Source organism: Homo sapiens, chromosome 19 (genome assembly GCF_000001405.40).
Source record: "Homo sapiens chromosome 19, GRCh38.p14 Primary Assembly".
Taxonomy (NCBI): domain Eukaryota; kingdom Metazoa; phylum Chordata; class Mammalia; order Primates; family Hominidae; genus Homo; species Homo sapiens.
In genome coordinates, this window is record NC_000019.10 from 5620398 (window position 1) to 5636767 (window position 16370).

Sequence of the window (16370 nt, forward strand, 5' to 3'; positions counted from 1 at the left end):
ATCCTTATCACCATAAAACCTAACAATACCAACTGGGATAGTCAAAGCTTCAAAGTTTTATGGAATTCAATGCTTTCAAAAATAACTGGTATCAGCCATAAACAGGAATGAAGTATCAATACATGTTACAACACAGATGAACTTTAAGCATTATGCTACGTGAAAGCTGATGCAAATGGCCATATGTTGTACAATTCCATCTACATGAAATGTCCACAATAGGCAAATCTATGCGGACAGAACATGGATTAGTAGTTGCCAGGGGCTGGAGGGAGAAAAGTAAGGCGACTAACTTCTAATGAGGACCGGGTTTCCTTTTTGGGTGATGAAAATCCAGAAGGAGACGGTGGTGGTGGTGGCAGAGCCTTGTGTATACACTAGGAAGCACTGAATTGTACACCTTAACCTGATGAATTTAACGGTCTGTGAATTAAACCTTCACATTCAAAAACCGTAATAGTAAAAAATAGGCTGAGTGCAAATACCCCAACAATCTACTTTGGACCCTAGCAAAGCTGAGTTCTATTCGGTCTCAGGTTGGTGTCCTTTTCTTTGGGTTAAGACCTATTTTTTGAACCAGGAAGGAAGCCAAGTAGGTACATTTGGTTCCTCAGACCCGTAGAAGTAGCTTTAAGAGCTTGTCTTTCTCTAGTTGACTTTTAATCCCAATGGCAGAAGCTGAAACGTTTTTCGTATATTTTAATTGCACTTGGCACCTGTACATCTCTTTCCTCCTCCCTGTGCCCTTGACAGAGCTACCTGTTAGGTGGTGACGAGCAAAGCTAACTCTTAGTGGAGGGACACCGAGTACCAGAGAAATTCTCCCAGCCTAGAAGGCGGGAAGAGCACACTACACACCATTTCTCTAAATTCTCTGAACACTCAAGCCCCAAGCAGCATATGTACAATACCTTTAACACATCTCTTGGCTGACTTCTTGCTGGTGGCTTCTAACTCGATGCCAATTTCATCAGGATCTTGCCCCTCTTCTTTAACCGCCTATTAGGGAGAGATGAGTTTTACAACATCATTAAGAGCTGCAGGGCACACACTGTTCCTTACAAGTAACAACCTCCCATGAAACAAAGGCAAACCCGTCCTTGCAAAGAGCAACTCCGGGTCAGCTATCTGGGCCGCAAGCCCAAAAGGCGGAGGAGGAACCCCGCACAACTTGGGTCTCTCTGGGTCCAAATGACAAAGGAGAGGGAGGCTGTGAGCAGGAGCTCCAGAATTGGGGTCAAGGACCAGTTCCAAAATGGCAACTCAACTCGACAATGCCAAACCTTCGACTTTAAAGTTATATGATGGGACAAATTAGAACAGAGAGGCTGCACTTGGCCCGGCCTCGGTGAAGGGCTGGCCACCGCTGGTGAGGAGGAACAGCAGCCAGCCTGGGGAGATTCAACAGGTCCCTCAGTGCCTGCCACCTGCCGGGTCCAGGACTGGGTACCCACAAGCTCCCTCCCTATGCTCAAGTTGTTTGTTCCAGTTGCGGAAACAGACAATTCCCAACCCCTTAATATTTTGCATTTAGCCCCTGCTTTCAGCGAGGTGCGACACAAACGCAGGATGAGCTGGCAAGGAGGTGGGGCAGCGCATTAGGAAGGGCGCTCAGGAAGGTGATGTCTCAGGCAGACCCAAAATGACAACAAGGGGCCGGCCACGAGAAGATCTGGGGGACCCGGGTGGACAGCTTCGTAAAGGCCAAAGCCCTGGGGCAAGAACAAGCACCGCCCCCTTTCCTGTAAATGCTCTGGAGTCCGCCAGACACCCATTCTCCGGAGGAGGAAACTGAGGCACAGAGAGAAAGGCACCTGCCCAAGGTCACAGAGCCAAGGCTCGATCGGGAGCCCCAGGAGGGGTCCCGGGGCCACCCTGGTAGCGGAGAAGACCGCACGCTGAGCGCGCTTGAGGAGAAAAGGTGGAAAGAGGATAGGAAGGGAGGCACAGAGAGGAGCGGTGACGGGCCAAGGTCACACAGCCGGCCCCCTGGGTGCCCGACACCTCGAACCGGGGTCGGCCAAGACGCGGGGCGAACCCAGGGCGCCCCGGGTCCGGGAGCCGCGGTGACAGGTGCAGGCGGGGGCGTGCCCGGGCCTCCTGCGCCACCCCCGAGCCCCGCGCCGCCTCACCTTCTTGAGCCGCTCCATCAGGACGCTCTTGTTGCCGCCCGTGTCCAGGTTCCGCTTCTTCAGCTCCGCCCGCAGATCGATCACCCGCAGCTCGCTGAGCCGCCTCGTCCCAGTCTCCGCAACGCCCGGGCCGAGAGAAGCCGTGCCAGGGCCCGAGTCGCCCGACCCGGGCAGAGTCTCCGCCATCGTCGCGTTCCCGTCTTCGCCACCGACTCAGTCGCACACCGCCGGCAGCTATAGCGGCTCTGAACACAAAATGGCGCCGCCTAAGAGGAAAACGCACTCGTTTCCTCCCGCCCCGCTTTGCGGCCGCGCACGCGCACGCGCACCGCCCCCACTAGCGTACTTAGCAGCAAGGACGCTCGCGCGTCCACCAACCGCGGGTTCCCCGGCACAACGCGCAAGCGCTGAATCTGCAGCTCGCATGCGTCCCGGCAGTTCCCGGCGGGAGGCTGACGAGACGCAACGCGTCTGCGCACATCCCCGCGTTGTTCTCACTGCGCATGTGCAGTTGCAACCGGGATACTAGAACCTACGCTTGGTGCGCCTGCGCAGAAGCGAGGCGCGCTGGGGCGACTGGAGCGGTTCCCTCGCAGGCGGCGCCATTTTGTGCTAGGAGCCTGATAAAACCGGCCCGGTTCTGTGGAAAGTGGGCGGCGGAGCCAGGGTCCCTGGAATGGCGGAGACTCTGTCAGGCCTAGGTGATTCTGGAGCGGCGGGCGCGGCGGCTCTGAGCTCCGCCTCGTCAGAGACCGGGACGCGGCGCCTCAGCGACCTGCGAGTGATCGATCTGCGGGCGGAGCTGAGGAAACGGAATGTGGACTCGAGCGGCAACAAGAGCGTTTTGATGGAGCGGCTGAAGAAGGTGGATTTGGGGCCCCGAGGGCGGGCACAGGGTGGGTCTGGGGTCCTCTTGGCCGCGACGGTGGCTCGCGGGCCCTGGCGTCCGCCCCCGGCCGCGTTCGCGGCCTCGCCGGACCTGGCGCTCTCGCGTCCCCCGGCTCCTCCGAGGCCCCGGAGAGAGTTCCTTGGCCGGCTGGGCCTGGGTTCAAATCCTAACGCCGCAATGGGGCCAGGAGAACCACAAAAACGGCACGCGTGCAGGAGAAACGGTGACGGGTGACATCGTCCACTGAGAGGAGGGTTCTCCCCTCGTCTCGTCCCCTCCTCCGTACCTGGAGGGGAGACCCTGAAACCCTCACTTCCCAGGCGAGGGGAAGGGACTCGGCCAAGGTCACACGGCCGAGGACGGGCAGCGTCGGGATTTGAACCCAGGCCCTGGGATTCCTGATTCGGCTGCTTGGTTTCCCCAGGGAAGATGCTTTGTGACCCACAGGGGACCGACCAGCCTGAATCGGGGCTGATTTACAAAGGAAACACCCGTAGGACATACTCAAAGGGAAAAATAGAAAAAAACCCACCACAATCCAGTTTTCACGGTTTGCCGGTACTCGCTCGGTGAAGTAACGTGGCAGGAAGGAAAAGTGGTGTTGACGGTAGTGATCAGAAATGTGAAATGAGGGGAGACCCCGGGTGGACTTTAAAACCAGCCTCAGAACTGCCCGGGAGGCGGGCAGAGCCTGGGCTCCCCCAGCTCCGTCAGTCTCTCTGGACTTGGGGACCCTGCCAGCTCTCGGTGGCCTGATCTTGGGCATAGGAGACCTTGAACCCCTTCTGAGTCCTCTTTTCTATTCTTTTTTTTTTTTTTTCTCCTGTAAGAAGCAAAAAAGCAATAGGACTTTGATTTGGGGATTAAATAAGTTTGCGTGGAGCAGGCTTGGCGTGCTGCCTGGCGCATGTAAACACTCGGTGTGTGGTTGCCATCACGATTCGCTTTTCCTCTCTGTGCCACCACGAGTCCTCATTTGCAGATCGGGGGCTCTAACGCCTCCCTTGGGGGATTCAAAGGGATCCCTAGGAAAAGCAGAGAGGCAAGTAAAGGTTAGCCACCTGCGGTTTCCTTATTCCTGTAGCTTTTTTTCTCTGCCTTTTTTCCACCTGGCTACTCTGGGACCTCTCCCCTGTAGTTGCTCCGCCTGGCCGCCCACCCCCCAGCCCCTGCAGGCAGTGGGGCTGTTGACACATCCCACCATCCTGACTCCGGAACTACGGAGATCACAGGGCTTTATTATTAATTGGTGATGAGAAGAAGTAGGGATTTTTTTTTTTTTTTTTTTCCTGATGAGAAACCCTGGGCTCAAGGGTGGATAGTTGTCTCGGCCAGAGTCACATGGGCCTTTTAAAAGCTCAAGCTTGTGTTTCTTTTCACTATGGATTCTCTTTACTCAGATAAGGCAGGAAGCCCACTGATCTACATATTTACCCAGAGAAAATGCAGAGAGTGGAGATTGGCGGCTGGTCAGGTGTGGTGCCCCGCCACCAGGGCCTCCCATCAGCTAAGCCAAATTAAGAGGCTTTATCCTTTTTTTCTCCCTGGACGGTCCATAGGCCTGAAAAGCTGCTGTGATCTTCCTGTCAAGCTGGTGACTGAGACTTCCCATCACTCGCTGTCATCTCTGAGAGCACAGATTTGTTCCTTCTTCCTTCTCCTTTTCATTTTCTTCAAGATGTGGTCCCAAAACACGAATACCGCCAGCCCATATCCCTGTCTGCCACTCACCCAAGCCAGTCTGGAGTTCCTGATCTCATTCTCTTCCCGTTTCTGTCATCCTGTTGGTGTCCCTTTCTTGGTTTATTTTTCCAGGAAGGGCAAAAGAACAAAAAGGGGAAACAGGACACCTGCCTAGGGCATTGCTTCTCTTCTCCTGGTGGTGTTTCAGAATTGCCTGTCCCCGGGAAAAGGGTGAGGGACTTGGTGATTGTACTTTTCCTTGATCCCAGGAAAGAACTTCAGTCCCTTTTCTGGCTTCTGAGAGGAGAGATTTTTGTTGCTGCTGGTAAAGATGAGATGTGGAACCCCCAGGCCCTATCTCAATTCAGACTTACCCACCTGGGAAACTTGGAGGCTTCCAAACCTCTGCAGATAAAACATAGTACATGAAATGATGTAAACAAAACTTGTGCTCATGGGACTGGAGAGTAAAGACTGGAAAAGTTATCAGTAAAACTTGACCTGAAGCTAAGTTTCTAGGGACGTCATCGTGATTGACGTGTTCGGTACTGATGGCTTAGTTGATGCCAGGCACTGTGCTGAGGATGGGCATAGTTGAAGTGAGTGACAGAGTCCTGGGGTGGGAGGCTGGGCGTGCCAAGAAATTCTTATAATTCAATATCCGATGAGGCACAATCACCTAGTGGTTGAGAATGAGGTACTGGAGTCGGTTGTGAATGTACATGATGGGGATCGGATGAGGTCATGCATGTCGTGACGGGTCTCGTGCGTAACACATAGTAGGATCCCAGTCAGCGAGCATTAGTATTCTGTCCACACAGTACTGAGTACAGGCACGGCGTGGAGGGAGTCCCTGGAGGGTTAAAGAGTATTTTGTGAGTAAAGTCAGGGGAAATGGAGAGTGTGCCTTTCCCTTTTTGAGTTCTTCTGGGCTTAGGAAGGAGATGAACCAGATAAGCCTACTGTTTGTTGAGTGCTTCCTTTTCATGGCTAGTAGAGTCCTCACAACAGCCTTCCAGGGTAAGTACTGTATTATTATTAGCCGCATGTTCCAGAGGAAGAAGCAAAAACTGAGCACCTAAGTAAACCTGCCTGGGACCACCCAGCTAAGAACTGGTGGCGTCAGTCGGTCTCCAGTGTAGAGCGAGATAACAGATGAGTGGATGGGCCACAGGTCCTGGGTGGTGAGGGCGGCAGCAGCTTTTTGATCTTAAAAATACAGTTTCCTTGTCACCTGAGAGCTCTCTGAAAGCAGTGTGTGAGCTGACTTTTTGGATCAACTTTACTTTTCCCTTCTTTTTAGGCAATTGAAGATGAAGGTGGTAATCCTGACGAAATTGAAATTACCTCCGAGGGAAACAAGAAAACATCAAAGAGGTCTAGCAAAGGTATGGAGGATTTCATAAGCAAGTTTCATGTTAAGTGCTTTCTTCAAAACGAATACATTGCTAATGTGCCTCGTTTACTTGTCTGTGTGTTGGACTTGTGAACCACTCTGAACTGGGAGCCTTCAGCGAAGCTTTGCATTTTCTTTCAAGATCTCTCTACTGTGTTTTGTTTTCTTGGTATCTGGGAATTCCAATGGAGGATGGAAGGAGTATTTGTCCTTTATTCATTTTCCTCTGTAGATTGTCAGCGGTCCTTAAATAAGGAGTCTTTTGGGAGTCAGTCACAGTGGCGTGTGCCTGTAATTCCAGGCGACTCGGGGCTGTGGTAGGAGGATCACATGAGCCTGGGAGTTCAAGACCAGCCTGGGCAACATAGCAAAACCCAGCTCTACAAAAAAACTTTTAAAGGCCCGGTGTGGTGGCATGCATCTGTGGTCCCAGCTGCTTGGGAGGCTGAACCGGAAGGATTACTTGACCCCAGGAGGTTGAGATCAGCTTGGGCAACATAGGGAGACCCCCATCCCCACCAAAAAGAAATTAGCCAGGCATGATGGCATGCACCTGTGATCCCAGCTACTTGGGAGTTTTAGGAGGGGGATCACTTGAGCCCAGGAGCTCAAGCCTGCAATGACCTAATGATTGCACCACTGCACTCCAGCCTGGGTGACAGAGCAAGACCCAGTCTCTCTTAAAAAAAAGGGGGGTGGGGGCGGGGCACAGTGTCTCTCACCTGTAATCCCAACACTTTGGGAACCCAAGGCAGGAGAATGGTTTCAGTCTAGGAGTTTGAGACCAGCCTGGGCTGCCTCTATCCACTGCCAAAAAAAAAAAGTACCTAGGCGTCGAGGCACGCCTGTTTTCCTAGCTACTTGGGAGGCTAAGGCGGGAGGATCATTTGAACCCAGGAGTTCAGGGTTGCACTGAGCTATCATGGCACCACTGAACTCCAACATGGAGTCCAAAAAGTAGGACTGCCTGAGCCTCCTATTGCTTGGACTTGGAGAAAATAACATCCCTTATAAACAGCACTTGGCAAAAACAGAATTGTCACTTTAACATTTCTTTTAAAAGCAGCTTATACAGTAAAAGTCACATTCCACATGACATGACTCTCACCATCTTACCGAAATCTCTCTTGCCCATCCCCCACACCCTGTGCTTTAGTCAGGCCCCAAACACGTGATTTACTCTCCTGGTTCTCTGTGACTTCGCTCCGCCCACCCTTCCCCATCTGTCTGCCTTAGAGACCTAGTTCCTCAAAAGACAACTGATCCATCCCACCAATAGCAACTCGTCTCCTTGGGTCCTCTGTCCTCCCGTGGCATAGTTCCTTACCCCTTGGTTTAATATTTATGTCATCTTGCCTTCTGTCAAGAGCAGATTGATGAGGACTAGGGCTGTGTCTTGTTTATCTTTCTTTCCCCTTCAATGGTTTAACTTGGTAACACTCAACTATTGGCTTAAGAAAGAATCAGCTGAGGCAGGGCGCCGTGGCTCACACCTGTAATGCCAGCACTTTGGGAGGTTGAGGCGGACTGGTCACCTGAGGTCAGGAGTTCGAGACCAGCCTGGCCAACATGATGAAACCCCGTCTCTACTAAAAATATAAAAATTAGCCAGGTGTGGTGGCGGGCTCCTGTAATCCCAGCTACTCAGGAGGCTGAGGCAGGAGAATTGCCTGAACCCAGGAGGTGGAGGTTGCACTGAGCCCAGATCGCACCACTGCACTCCAGCCTGGGCGACCGCAAGACTCCATCCCCCTAAAAAAAAGAATCAGCTGAAGCTGGGCTTGTAGACCGAATGTTCTCTTGGTTCATGTAGAGTTTTCCCTATCTGAAATGCTTGGGACCAGAAGGGTTTCATTTTTTGGATTTTGTGCGGTATTTTCGTACGCATAATGAGATAATCTTGGGATTGGGGCCCAAATCTAAACAAGAAATTTGTTTCTTATACACCTGAAGATAATTTAATACCATATTTTTTATAATTTTGTGCATGAAACAAAACTTTCACTAATTCCACACATCAGGTGTGGAATTTTCTACTTGTGGCAATATGTCAGTGCTCAGAAGGTTTCAGTTTCAGATAGGGTTGCCCAACCTGTAATTGAAGGCCTGGTTCTCAGGGCCCAAAACTAAATGAGATAATAACTAATACTTGGTGGTGAAGTACTGGGTTTAAATATCTGAGAGTCAGGCCCCAGTGTCAGCCACAGTGTTTGGGGTAAGTGCTGGGAGAACAGCAGAATGAAGTCACTTCTGTGGCTCATGATACATTGCGTGTTTTTGCCTTTACTCAAGTATACTTCTGCCAAGGCAAAGAGTCCTGGAAAATCAATGGAGAAAGAAATAATAAAAGCAAAAAACAGAGCCTGTGGATCTCCTTTTTTGTTTTCCTTTTTCTTCTGATAAAAGCAAATACTTGTACTACAGGCTTTTGTTGCTGTTTTTGTTTTGTTTTTGAGGTGGGTTCTCACTCTGTCACTCAGATGGAGGGTAGTCGCGCAGTCATAGTTCGCTGCAGCCTTGAACTCCTGGCCTCAAGCAGTGCTTTCACCTCAGCCCCACAAAACGTTTAGATTTCAGTTGTGAGCCACTGCGCCCGGCAGGTTTTAAAATACGTGCATGGGAGTAAAAAGCAGAAGTTGTTCACAGTCGGGACAGCCCACTACTAAAAGTTAGGCATACTTCTCCAGACTGTGTGTGTATGTACAATGTTTAAAAGTAAACTTAGGCCTGGGTTACAGAGCAAGACCCTGTGTCTAGAAAAACAAAAAGTTAAATAAAAGTCAATGAGCTGGGCATGGTGGCACACACCTGTAGTCCCAGCTACTAGGGAGGCCAAGGTAGGAGGATTGCTTAAGCCCAAGAGGTCAAGGCTGCGGTGAGCCATGAGTGTGCTTCTACACTCCAGCTTGGGCACAGAGTGAGAGGGGGAAAAAAGTAAATATATAGGTATGTGCACACACCTGTATGCATATTTTTTTCATTAAAAAAACCCGTGATCTTGCTATACAAAATCTCACTGTTTTTTAACAGGCTAATAATCTTCTGTATGAATAAATACACAATTTAGCCCATCAGTCTTTTTATTACTAGACGTTTGGAGATTTTTATTTCCAATTATCACTCGGTACTTCCAACATTCAGTGTTTGCACGAACCAGAGATAAATACCTTTGTGTGGTCAAAGTAATATAATTTTTGATAACTTAGTGAAAGGAGAATTCTAGACTCCAAGGATATGGCCCTTTATTTTCACATAGCTAGTTTACAAATAGCTGTCCCGGCCAAGTTCAGTGGCTCACGCCTGTAATCCTAGCACTTTGGGAGGCTGAGGTGGGCGGATCAAAAGATCAGCCTGGCCAACATGGCAAAACCCCACGTCTACTAAAAATACAGAAATTTGCCAGGTGTGGTGGTGGGCGCCTGTAATCCAAGCTACTCAGGTGGCTAAGGCAAGAAGATAGCTTGAACCTGGGAGACTGAGGTTGCATTGAGCCAAGATAGTGCCACTGCACTCCAGCCTTGGCGACAGAGTGAGGCTGTCTCAAAAACAAAAACAAAAACAAAAAGCTGTCCCAGGTTGTACCCTACCAACAATGGGTGACGGTGCCTATTTCACTAAACTCAACATCAAACTTACCTTGTTTGCCTGTTACCTTGTTGCCTGTTATATAGAAGAAAAGTATTTCATTGTATTTATCTGCATTTTTCTGCAGGTGAGATTTTCGTTTGCATTTCTTCACAGATTATACTCTTCTGATAATTGGACATTTGTGTCGTCTGAATGGCCTTTTCATGCCCTTTGCCGATTTCTGTGCTGGGTTGTTTGTCTTATTGAGTTATAAAGACTCATATAAAATGTTTCTATTGTTTTAATCTGTCATTCAATTTAATCTGATTCGACTTGTGGTATTTTGATCACTAGGCTTCTAGATTTTATGTTACGCTTTAAAAGGACTTCTTTGCTTTTAAATTATTAAAAATATGACTGTAAGGCCAGGTGCGGTGGCACACGTCCGTAATCCCACGATGCAGGTGGATCACCTGAGGTCAGGAGTTCAACACCAGCCTGGCCAACATGGTGAAACCCTGTCTCTACTAAAAATACAAAAATTATCTGGGTGTGGTGGCAAGCGCCTGTAATCCTAGCTACTTGAGAGGCTGAGGCAGGAAAATCGCTTGAACCCGGGAAGCAGAGGTTGCAGTGAGCCGAGATCACGCCACTGCACTCCAGCCTGGGCGACGAGTGAAGCTTCGTCTCAAAAAAAAAAAAAACTATATGTATAACTCTGTTATATATAGAAAGAATAATATTTATGGTTTTATTTTTACATTTTACATTTGGAGGTTTAATTAATTTAGAATGTATTTTGCATGTGGTGTGAGGTAGGTAGGGATGAAAACATGAAACATTTAGGCTGGGCGTGGTGGCTCATGCCTGTAATCCCAGCACTTTGGGAGGCTGAGGCGGGCAGATCACCTGAGGTCAGGAGTTCGAGACCAGCCTGGCCAACATGGTGAAACCCCGTCTACTAAAAATACAAAAATTAGCTGGGCATGGTGGCGGATGCCTGTAATCCCAGCTACTCGGGAGACTGAGGCAGGAGAATCACTTGAGCCTGGGAGGCGGAGGTTGCAGTGAGCTGAGATCATGCTGCTGCACTCCAGCCTGGGCAACAGTGCAAGACTGTGTCTCAAAAAAAAAGAAAAGAAACATTTGTCATCAGAAAGATCACTTCTGCCCCTCCCAGTGCGTCTCCCCTCCCAGCCCCTGCAAAAATAAAAGTCGCTGTTGTGATTACTTCACCAGATATTAGTTTTACCCATTCTAGAACTTCATGTAAAATGGAGCCATGCAATACTAGCTCTTTTGTGTCTCATTTGTTGTTTTGTTTTGCTTCTTGTAATCAGTTTTATTCTAGAAATTTACAGTACATTTTGATATCTGATAGGGCAGGTCGGTAAGTTTTCTTGAATTATTTTCAACTACTTTATCAGTGGGTTTTATCAAGATTTTAACTGAAAATAGAGGGACTGCTGTAATGTGTGAATTCAAAATGCTTTAAAATTCCAGAAAGCATATCTCATGTAATCTCAGTTCTCCTCCTATTGCTTGGACTTGGAGAAAATGACATCCCTTTTAAACAGCACTTGGCCAAAACAGAATTGTCACTTTAACATTTTTTTTAAAAACTGCTTATACAGCAAAAGTCACATTCCACATGACGTGACTCTCACCATCTTAGCAGACTCTCAAAATAATTATCAGGGGCTGTGCGAGATGGCTCTCGTCTGTAAGCCCAACAGTTTGGGACACCGACGCGGAAGGATGACTTGAGCCCAGGAGTTGGAGAGCAGCCTGGGTGACATAGTGAGACCCCATCTCTCCAAAAAATTAGAAAAATTAGTCAGATGTGATGGCGTGCATCTGTAGTCCCAGCTACTCAGGAGACTGAGGTGGGAGGATCACGTGAGTCCAGGAATTTGAGGTTGCAGTGAACCATGATTGGGCTGTGATTGCTCTCCAACCTGGTAACAGGGCAAGACTCTGTCTCGAAAAAATAAAATAATTACCAGGAAACTAAATTTATTTGTAGTGTCATCACAAAGTACAAATTAATAGGATGTTTTATGGTGTTTGAGAATGTTTTGTAACTGGAGATGCAAAGTTGGCCTGTTTGCTTGGTTAAGTATTACCCAATCCTTTGCTGCTGGCTTGTTTTGTTCAGTTTTTGTTCATTTTGGCAATTTCATACTTAAGTTGCAAGAATAATGCAAGGAATTCCCATATACCCTTTACCCAGAGTCCCCAAATATTGCCATCTGACTACATTTGCCTTGTCCTTTTCTCTCCTTGTATGTATGTTTTTACTAGACCGCATGGTAAGTTGCAAGGCGCATATGCCCCTTTGCCCTACGTACTGCAGTAAAGTAAGGATATTACCTAACTGTAGATGTCCAGATCAGGAAATTAACATTGATACAATACTGCCACCTCGTCTTAGTCCTCATTTAGATTCAGTAGTTTGTTCCAATAATATTCTCTATAACTCAGACAAAAAATGTCCAGAGTCATGCATTGCATCAGGTTGTCATGTTTCCTTAGTTTTCTTTAATCTTGAACACTTACACTTATTTTGTAGTTTATTTTTCTATTTGAATTGTTTTGGGTTCTCCCCGCCCCATAATAAGGATCAAGTTATACGCTTGTCAGAAATACACCAGACATGTTGTATTCCTGTTTTTTGTTTTGTTTTGGTTTGAAACCGGGTCTTGCCCTGTTACCCAGGCCAGAGTGCAATGGTGCAATTGTAGGTCACTGCAACCCTGAATTGCTGTGCTCAAGCGATCCTCCCACCTTGGCCTCCCAAAGAGTTGGGATTACAGACATGAGCCACCACGCCCAGCCTATATTGTCATCAGAGTATACTATCCAGAGGCACATGCTGTCAGTTTGAGCCATTATTGGCCATGTTAGCTGACTTCAAATGCTATTGGCCAGGTTTCTCCACTGGAAAGTTACTGTCTTCCTTTTCACAGTTACATTTGTGGGGAAGATACTCTGAGACTTTGTAAATATCCTGCTCATCGTCCATTAGTTTTAGCAACCACCAGTTCCTGTCTATTCATTTATTCTGGTAGTTGCCAAATGGTGATTTTTTAATTTTGTTATTGTTTGTTTATTACTTGGTTTACTGACATAAGGAATAGCTTGCCCTTTGCCCTCATTTATCTGTGTGAACTTAGATTATTTTATTCCATAGGTTGAAAGCCTTTATGCTTATTTACTACAATGTGCAAAACGTTCCATTGGGAACCCTGTCAGACAGGCTCCCCTGTCATTTCCACATGTTCATGCCATTCTTGGGATACTTTTTTACCTTCTGGAATGGCAGGGTACGTGAGTCTCATCTTATGCTTTTCCTGCCCTTTCCCCGGAATCAGCCATTTCTTCCAGGTGCCCTGGGCCCTTTTGAGGAGAGCTATTAGAAACCAGGGTCTGCAGCCAGGCGCGGTGGCTCACGCCTGTAATCCCAGCACTTTGGGAGGCCGAGGCAGGCGGATCATGAGGTCGGGAGATCGAGACCATCCTGGCTAACACGGTGAAACCCCATCTCTACTAAAAATACAAAAAATTAGGCAGGCGTGGTGGCGGGCGCCTGTAGTCCCAGCTACTCGGGAGGCTGAGGCAGGAGAATGGCGTGAACCCGGGAGGTGGAGCTTGCAGTGAGCCGAGATTGCGCCACTGCACTCCAGCCTGGGCGACAGAGCGAGACTCCGTCTCAAAAAAAAAAAAAGAAAAAAGAAACCAGGGTCTTGGAACTTAGATGTACTTCTGTAACTAGGATGTCAACTCCTGGGCCAGTACTTGGTTTGTGAGAGCTACTGGGCTGATTGTACCTCAGGAAATTAAGTACTGTTAAAGCAATCCGAAGCAAGCCAAAGACAGCTTAAGAAAGGTGACAAAGCCCTCATGAACAGTTTGGCAAACTTGCTAGCTGGTTAAAATTGTTAATCACTTCTCCAGGATTTTTTAGGTGACAGTTATATCATTAGTGAATCAAAGAATTAAGCATGTTGCCAGATTGACATTGAAATGTACATAACATTCTTAAATAGTAAATAGAATTAACAGGAAATTTTCAAGTCCTGCGAAATCACTAATTAGAGAAAAATTTCCTAGATGTGATGACTTTTTAGCAGAGAAAATTTTCCTAGATATGATGACTTTTTATCAGAAAATTGTCACTTTTCTCCACAGTAACCTAAAAGGAAATTTTATAATGTGTTCCATAATAGTCTAAAAAGAAAATGCACAAGAATAACTAAAATTCTGGGCGGGGGGGAATACAGGGATTTCCTCTAATTTTGATGATAGGATATTGCAAACAACAGAAAGTTTGAGGGTTTGTTCATTTGATGGTGGGGGAAAGCTCTAATCTTATCTCTTCTTGTGTAAAATAGAAATTCCAGCTAGTTTAATACTTTTTATAATATAGTAATAAGAAAGACCTGAAGTAAGAATAAAACTGAGAAACAACAAAGAAAGAGAAATTTGGCTACATAAAAGTTTTAACTCTCTGTTAAGAAAGGTATGCAACAGTCTGGGAGAAAATATTATAGCACAGAATAAGGAAGAAACTCATATCCAGAAAGCATTGAATGTTCTGACAAATCAGTAAGGAAAACAGGCAACCCAGTCAACAAGGAGCAGAGACTATGAACAGGCAATTTACAAATAAATGAAAAAGCAGATGTGGCCTAGAGACCAAAAGATTCCCTTGCTGGTAGTTGCAGAATAGCAAATTTTGAAATGACATAAGATTTTTGCCTATCAAACTGGTAAAAATTTACACAGTTCCGCAAGGTGCGGTGACTCAAACCTGTAATCCTAGCACTTTGGGAGGCTGAGGTGGGCGGGTCACTCTAGGTAAAGAGTTTGAGACCAGCCTGGCCAACATGGAGAAACCTTGTCTCTACAAAAAAATACAAAATTAACCGGGTGTGGTGGCACGTGCCGGTAATCCCAGCTACTCGGGAGGCTGAGGCAGGAGAATCACTTGAACCCAGGAGGCGGAGGTTCCGGTGAGCCGAGATCACGCCATTGCACTCCAGCCTGGGCAACAAGAGCGAAACTCCATCTCAAAAAAAAATTTTTTTTACACAGTTCCTGTTCTCCTACATTGGCAAGGGTATTGGGGAAGGTGTAGGTGTTGGAGACAATAAATTGCTACAGCCTTTTTGAGAAGGCAGCTAACGTGGGGAACTGCCGTAGCATGGAGTCAAAGATGGAGGTGGATCAATACGCAGTACATAAAAATGTCCAAGGCCTGTTAGTAGTTTCTGTAACTTGTGTCATTGCTCACTAACAATAAGATTTCATCTCATCACAAGCTTATTTCCATATGTATCATATAATGTATGTAGATGCAAGATGATGTCCTGAGGCACCACCAAGCTGGGAACGTTGGTAACCTCTTAAGAGGACAGTAGGGAAAAGGGAAGGTATTATAGCTTTATACTTCCTATACTTAGGAGGATGAATCTTCTGTTACTGCAGTAAAGTTTAATACGTATATTTGCATAATTAGGGAAGTGTGTTTGTGTAATCAAATCAGAAAGTAATGAACCACCCACATGCAGCCCTGGGTACTATGGGAGCATCCCAGCAGAAGTCCAGGGCAGCAGAGTCAGCAGTGAGATTGGACAGTCTCTGAGGCAGAAGCTTAACAGAAGGCAAGAGATGGAATCCCAGGCAGGGAGCTACGAGCAGGCGATAGAGGCGATGACGGTCATGCCCATAGCTGAGACCACAAACTAGGGTGAAGAGCTGAGGTAGAAGGATTCAAGGGGCACATTGGCCTTGATACTAAAGACAAATCAATGGCTCTTCAGTTTTTGCCAGAGAGTTATACTTTTCCCATTTGCATTCATTTTTGGTTTTTTTAGACGTTTTTCTTCTCTGGAGAATACTGTCTTTCCTCAAGTCGTGATGATTAATAAACATTCCAGTCAGGGATGTGCTTTATACGTTGAAGATTAAACATTTTGAAGATTGCATGTTCTCTCGACATTTCCAGTCACATTTTACCTCGGGGGAGCTTTCCCCTGAGAAGGATTTGGCTGCAGTGTACCTGTACATACTGCTTGGGAGAAAAGTGGTCATAGAAGTGGAAAACCCTGATTCTGTTTGATGAAAATCTAGTACCCCTCCTGAGGAAGAGAGAACACCGTATGGAGGGCAGCAAGTTTCTGATAAGTTAGTAGATTTTTCCTATTATCTGGAATAGGATTGGACAGAAACCAACGTACGTATCATAGAATTGTAGCAACTTTATCAAATGTAATCATTCTGTGGCAATGCTCTGGTATCTCTTCCCAGCATGTTTACAGAGACCACTGGGTTGAGTTCCAGCTGTTTTTTAGACCTCGAGGCATGTTTTGCCAAAGAAATAATGGTATAAAATGGGGATGGATTTCCCAGCCAACTGACCAAAATATCATGTATTGAATTCTGTTATCAGTTTGATAGTCCCCTATCTTTGTAAATAAGGTAATTCTAAAAATATGAATGAAATTAGAATATTTAAACGTCAATTACAGTACAAATAATTAGGTTTGGAATTTTTGTCTTTGGCTTTTCTTTTTTTCTCCCCCCAGGATGTTACATATTTATCCAGTTACAAGAATAGTTTCCAGTATAGACAAATTAATTGTCTTTTCTTTTTTCTTTGAGACAGGGTCTGACTCTGTCACCCAGGCTGAGTGCAGTG

The 16370-nt window shown here is 46.8% G+C and overlaps 2 protein-coding genes across 9 annotated transcripts in view, besides 10 other annotated features; one reads left to right on the forward strand and one right to left on the reverse strand.

Annotated features, from left to right (window-relative positions):
* The window catches only part of SAFB2 (scaffold attachment factor B2), a 35778-nt gene extending 33399 nt beyond the window's left edge, over positions 1–2379 (reverse strand). For both annotated transcript variants that reach the window (NM_014649.3, XM_011528449.4), the window contains exons 1-2: positions 2133–2379; positions 912–999 (exon numbers count right to left, since the gene is read on the reverse strand). In NM_014649.3, the coding sequence (NP_055464.1) occupies positions 912–999; positions 2133–2318 (274 nt within the window). In that variant the 5' untranslated portion in view covers positions 2319–2379. The remainder of the gene's footprint in view (positions 1–911; positions 1000–2132) is intronic.
* Positions 779–999: a silencer, noted in NCBI's record as "fragment chr19:5621187-5621407 (GRCh37/hg19 assembly coordinates)". NCBI's record gives its function as "represses an EF-1alpha promoter that drives an FKBP-Casp9 reporter gene in an ReSE screen in K562 erythroleukemia cells {active_cell/tissue: K562}" and the evidence as "EXISTENCE:reporter gene assay evidence [ECO:0000049][PMID:32094911]".
* Positions 779–1650: a biological region, named in NCBI's record as "H3K4me1 hESC enhancer GRCh37_chr19:5621326-5622058".
* Positions 918–1650: an enhancer, noted in NCBI's record as "H3K4me1 hESC enhancer chr19:5621326-5622058 (GRCh37/hg19 assembly coordinates)". NCBI's record gives its function as "activates a minimal SCP1, AML or CMV promoter by ChIP-STARR-seq in primed H9 embryonic stem cells {active_cell/tissue: H9 hESC(primed)}" and the evidence as "EXISTENCE:reporter gene assay evidence [ECO:0000049][PMID:30033119]".
* Positions 2004–2123: a silencer, noted in NCBI's record as "silent region_9924". NCBI's record gives its function as "represses an Ori minimal core promoter by ATAC-STARR-seq in GM12878 lymphoblastoid cells {active_cell/tissue: GM12878}" and the evidence as "EXISTENCE:reporter gene assay evidence [ECO:0000049][PMID:35858748]".
* Positions 2124–2463: an enhancer, noted in NCBI's record as "active region_13804". NCBI's record gives its function as "activates an Ori minimal core promoter by ATAC-STARR-seq in GM12878 lymphoblastoid cells {active_cell/tissue: GM12878}" and the evidence as "EXISTENCE:reporter gene assay evidence [ECO:0000049][PMID:35858748]".
* Positions 2124–3116: a biological region, named in NCBI's record as "H3K27ac hESC enhancer GRCh37_chr19:5622792-5623524".
* Positions 2384–3116: an enhancer, noted in NCBI's record as "H3K27ac hESC enhancer chr19:5622792-5623524 (GRCh37/hg19 assembly coordinates)". NCBI's record gives its function as "activates a minimal SCP1, AML or CMV promoter by ChIP-STARR-seq in primed H9 embryonic stem cells {active_cell/tissue: H9 hESC(primed)}" and the evidence as "EXISTENCE:reporter gene assay evidence [ECO:0000049][PMID:30033119]".
* SAFB (scaffold attachment factor B) overlaps positions 2686–16370 on the forward strand; it is a 45396-nt gene continuing 31711 nt past the window's right edge. For all 7 annotated transcript variants that reach the window (NM_001201338.2, NM_002967.4, NM_001201339.2 and 4 more), the window contains exons 1-2: positions 2686–2997; positions 6008–6092. In NM_001201338.2, the coding sequence (NP_001188267.1) occupies positions 2809–2997; positions 6008–6092 (274 nt within the window). In that variant the 5' untranslated portion in view covers positions 2686–2808. The remainder of the gene's footprint in view (positions 2998–6007; positions 6093–16370) is intronic.
* Positions 3094–3143: a silencer, noted in NCBI's record as "silent region_9925". NCBI's record gives its function as "represses an Ori minimal core promoter by ATAC-STARR-seq in GM12878 lymphoblastoid cells {active_cell/tissue: GM12878}" and the evidence as "EXISTENCE:reporter gene assay evidence [ECO:0000049][PMID:35858748]".
* Positions 3094–3848: a biological region, named in NCBI's record as "H3K27ac hESC enhancer GRCh37_chr19:5623525-5624256".
* Positions 3117–3848: an enhancer, noted in NCBI's record as "H3K27ac hESC enhancer chr19:5623525-5624256 (GRCh37/hg19 assembly coordinates)". NCBI's record gives its function as "activates a minimal SCP1, AML or CMV promoter by ChIP-STARR-seq in naive H9 embryonic stem cells {active_cell/tissue: H9 hESC(naive)}" and the evidence as "EXISTENCE:reporter gene assay evidence [ECO:0000049][PMID:30033119]".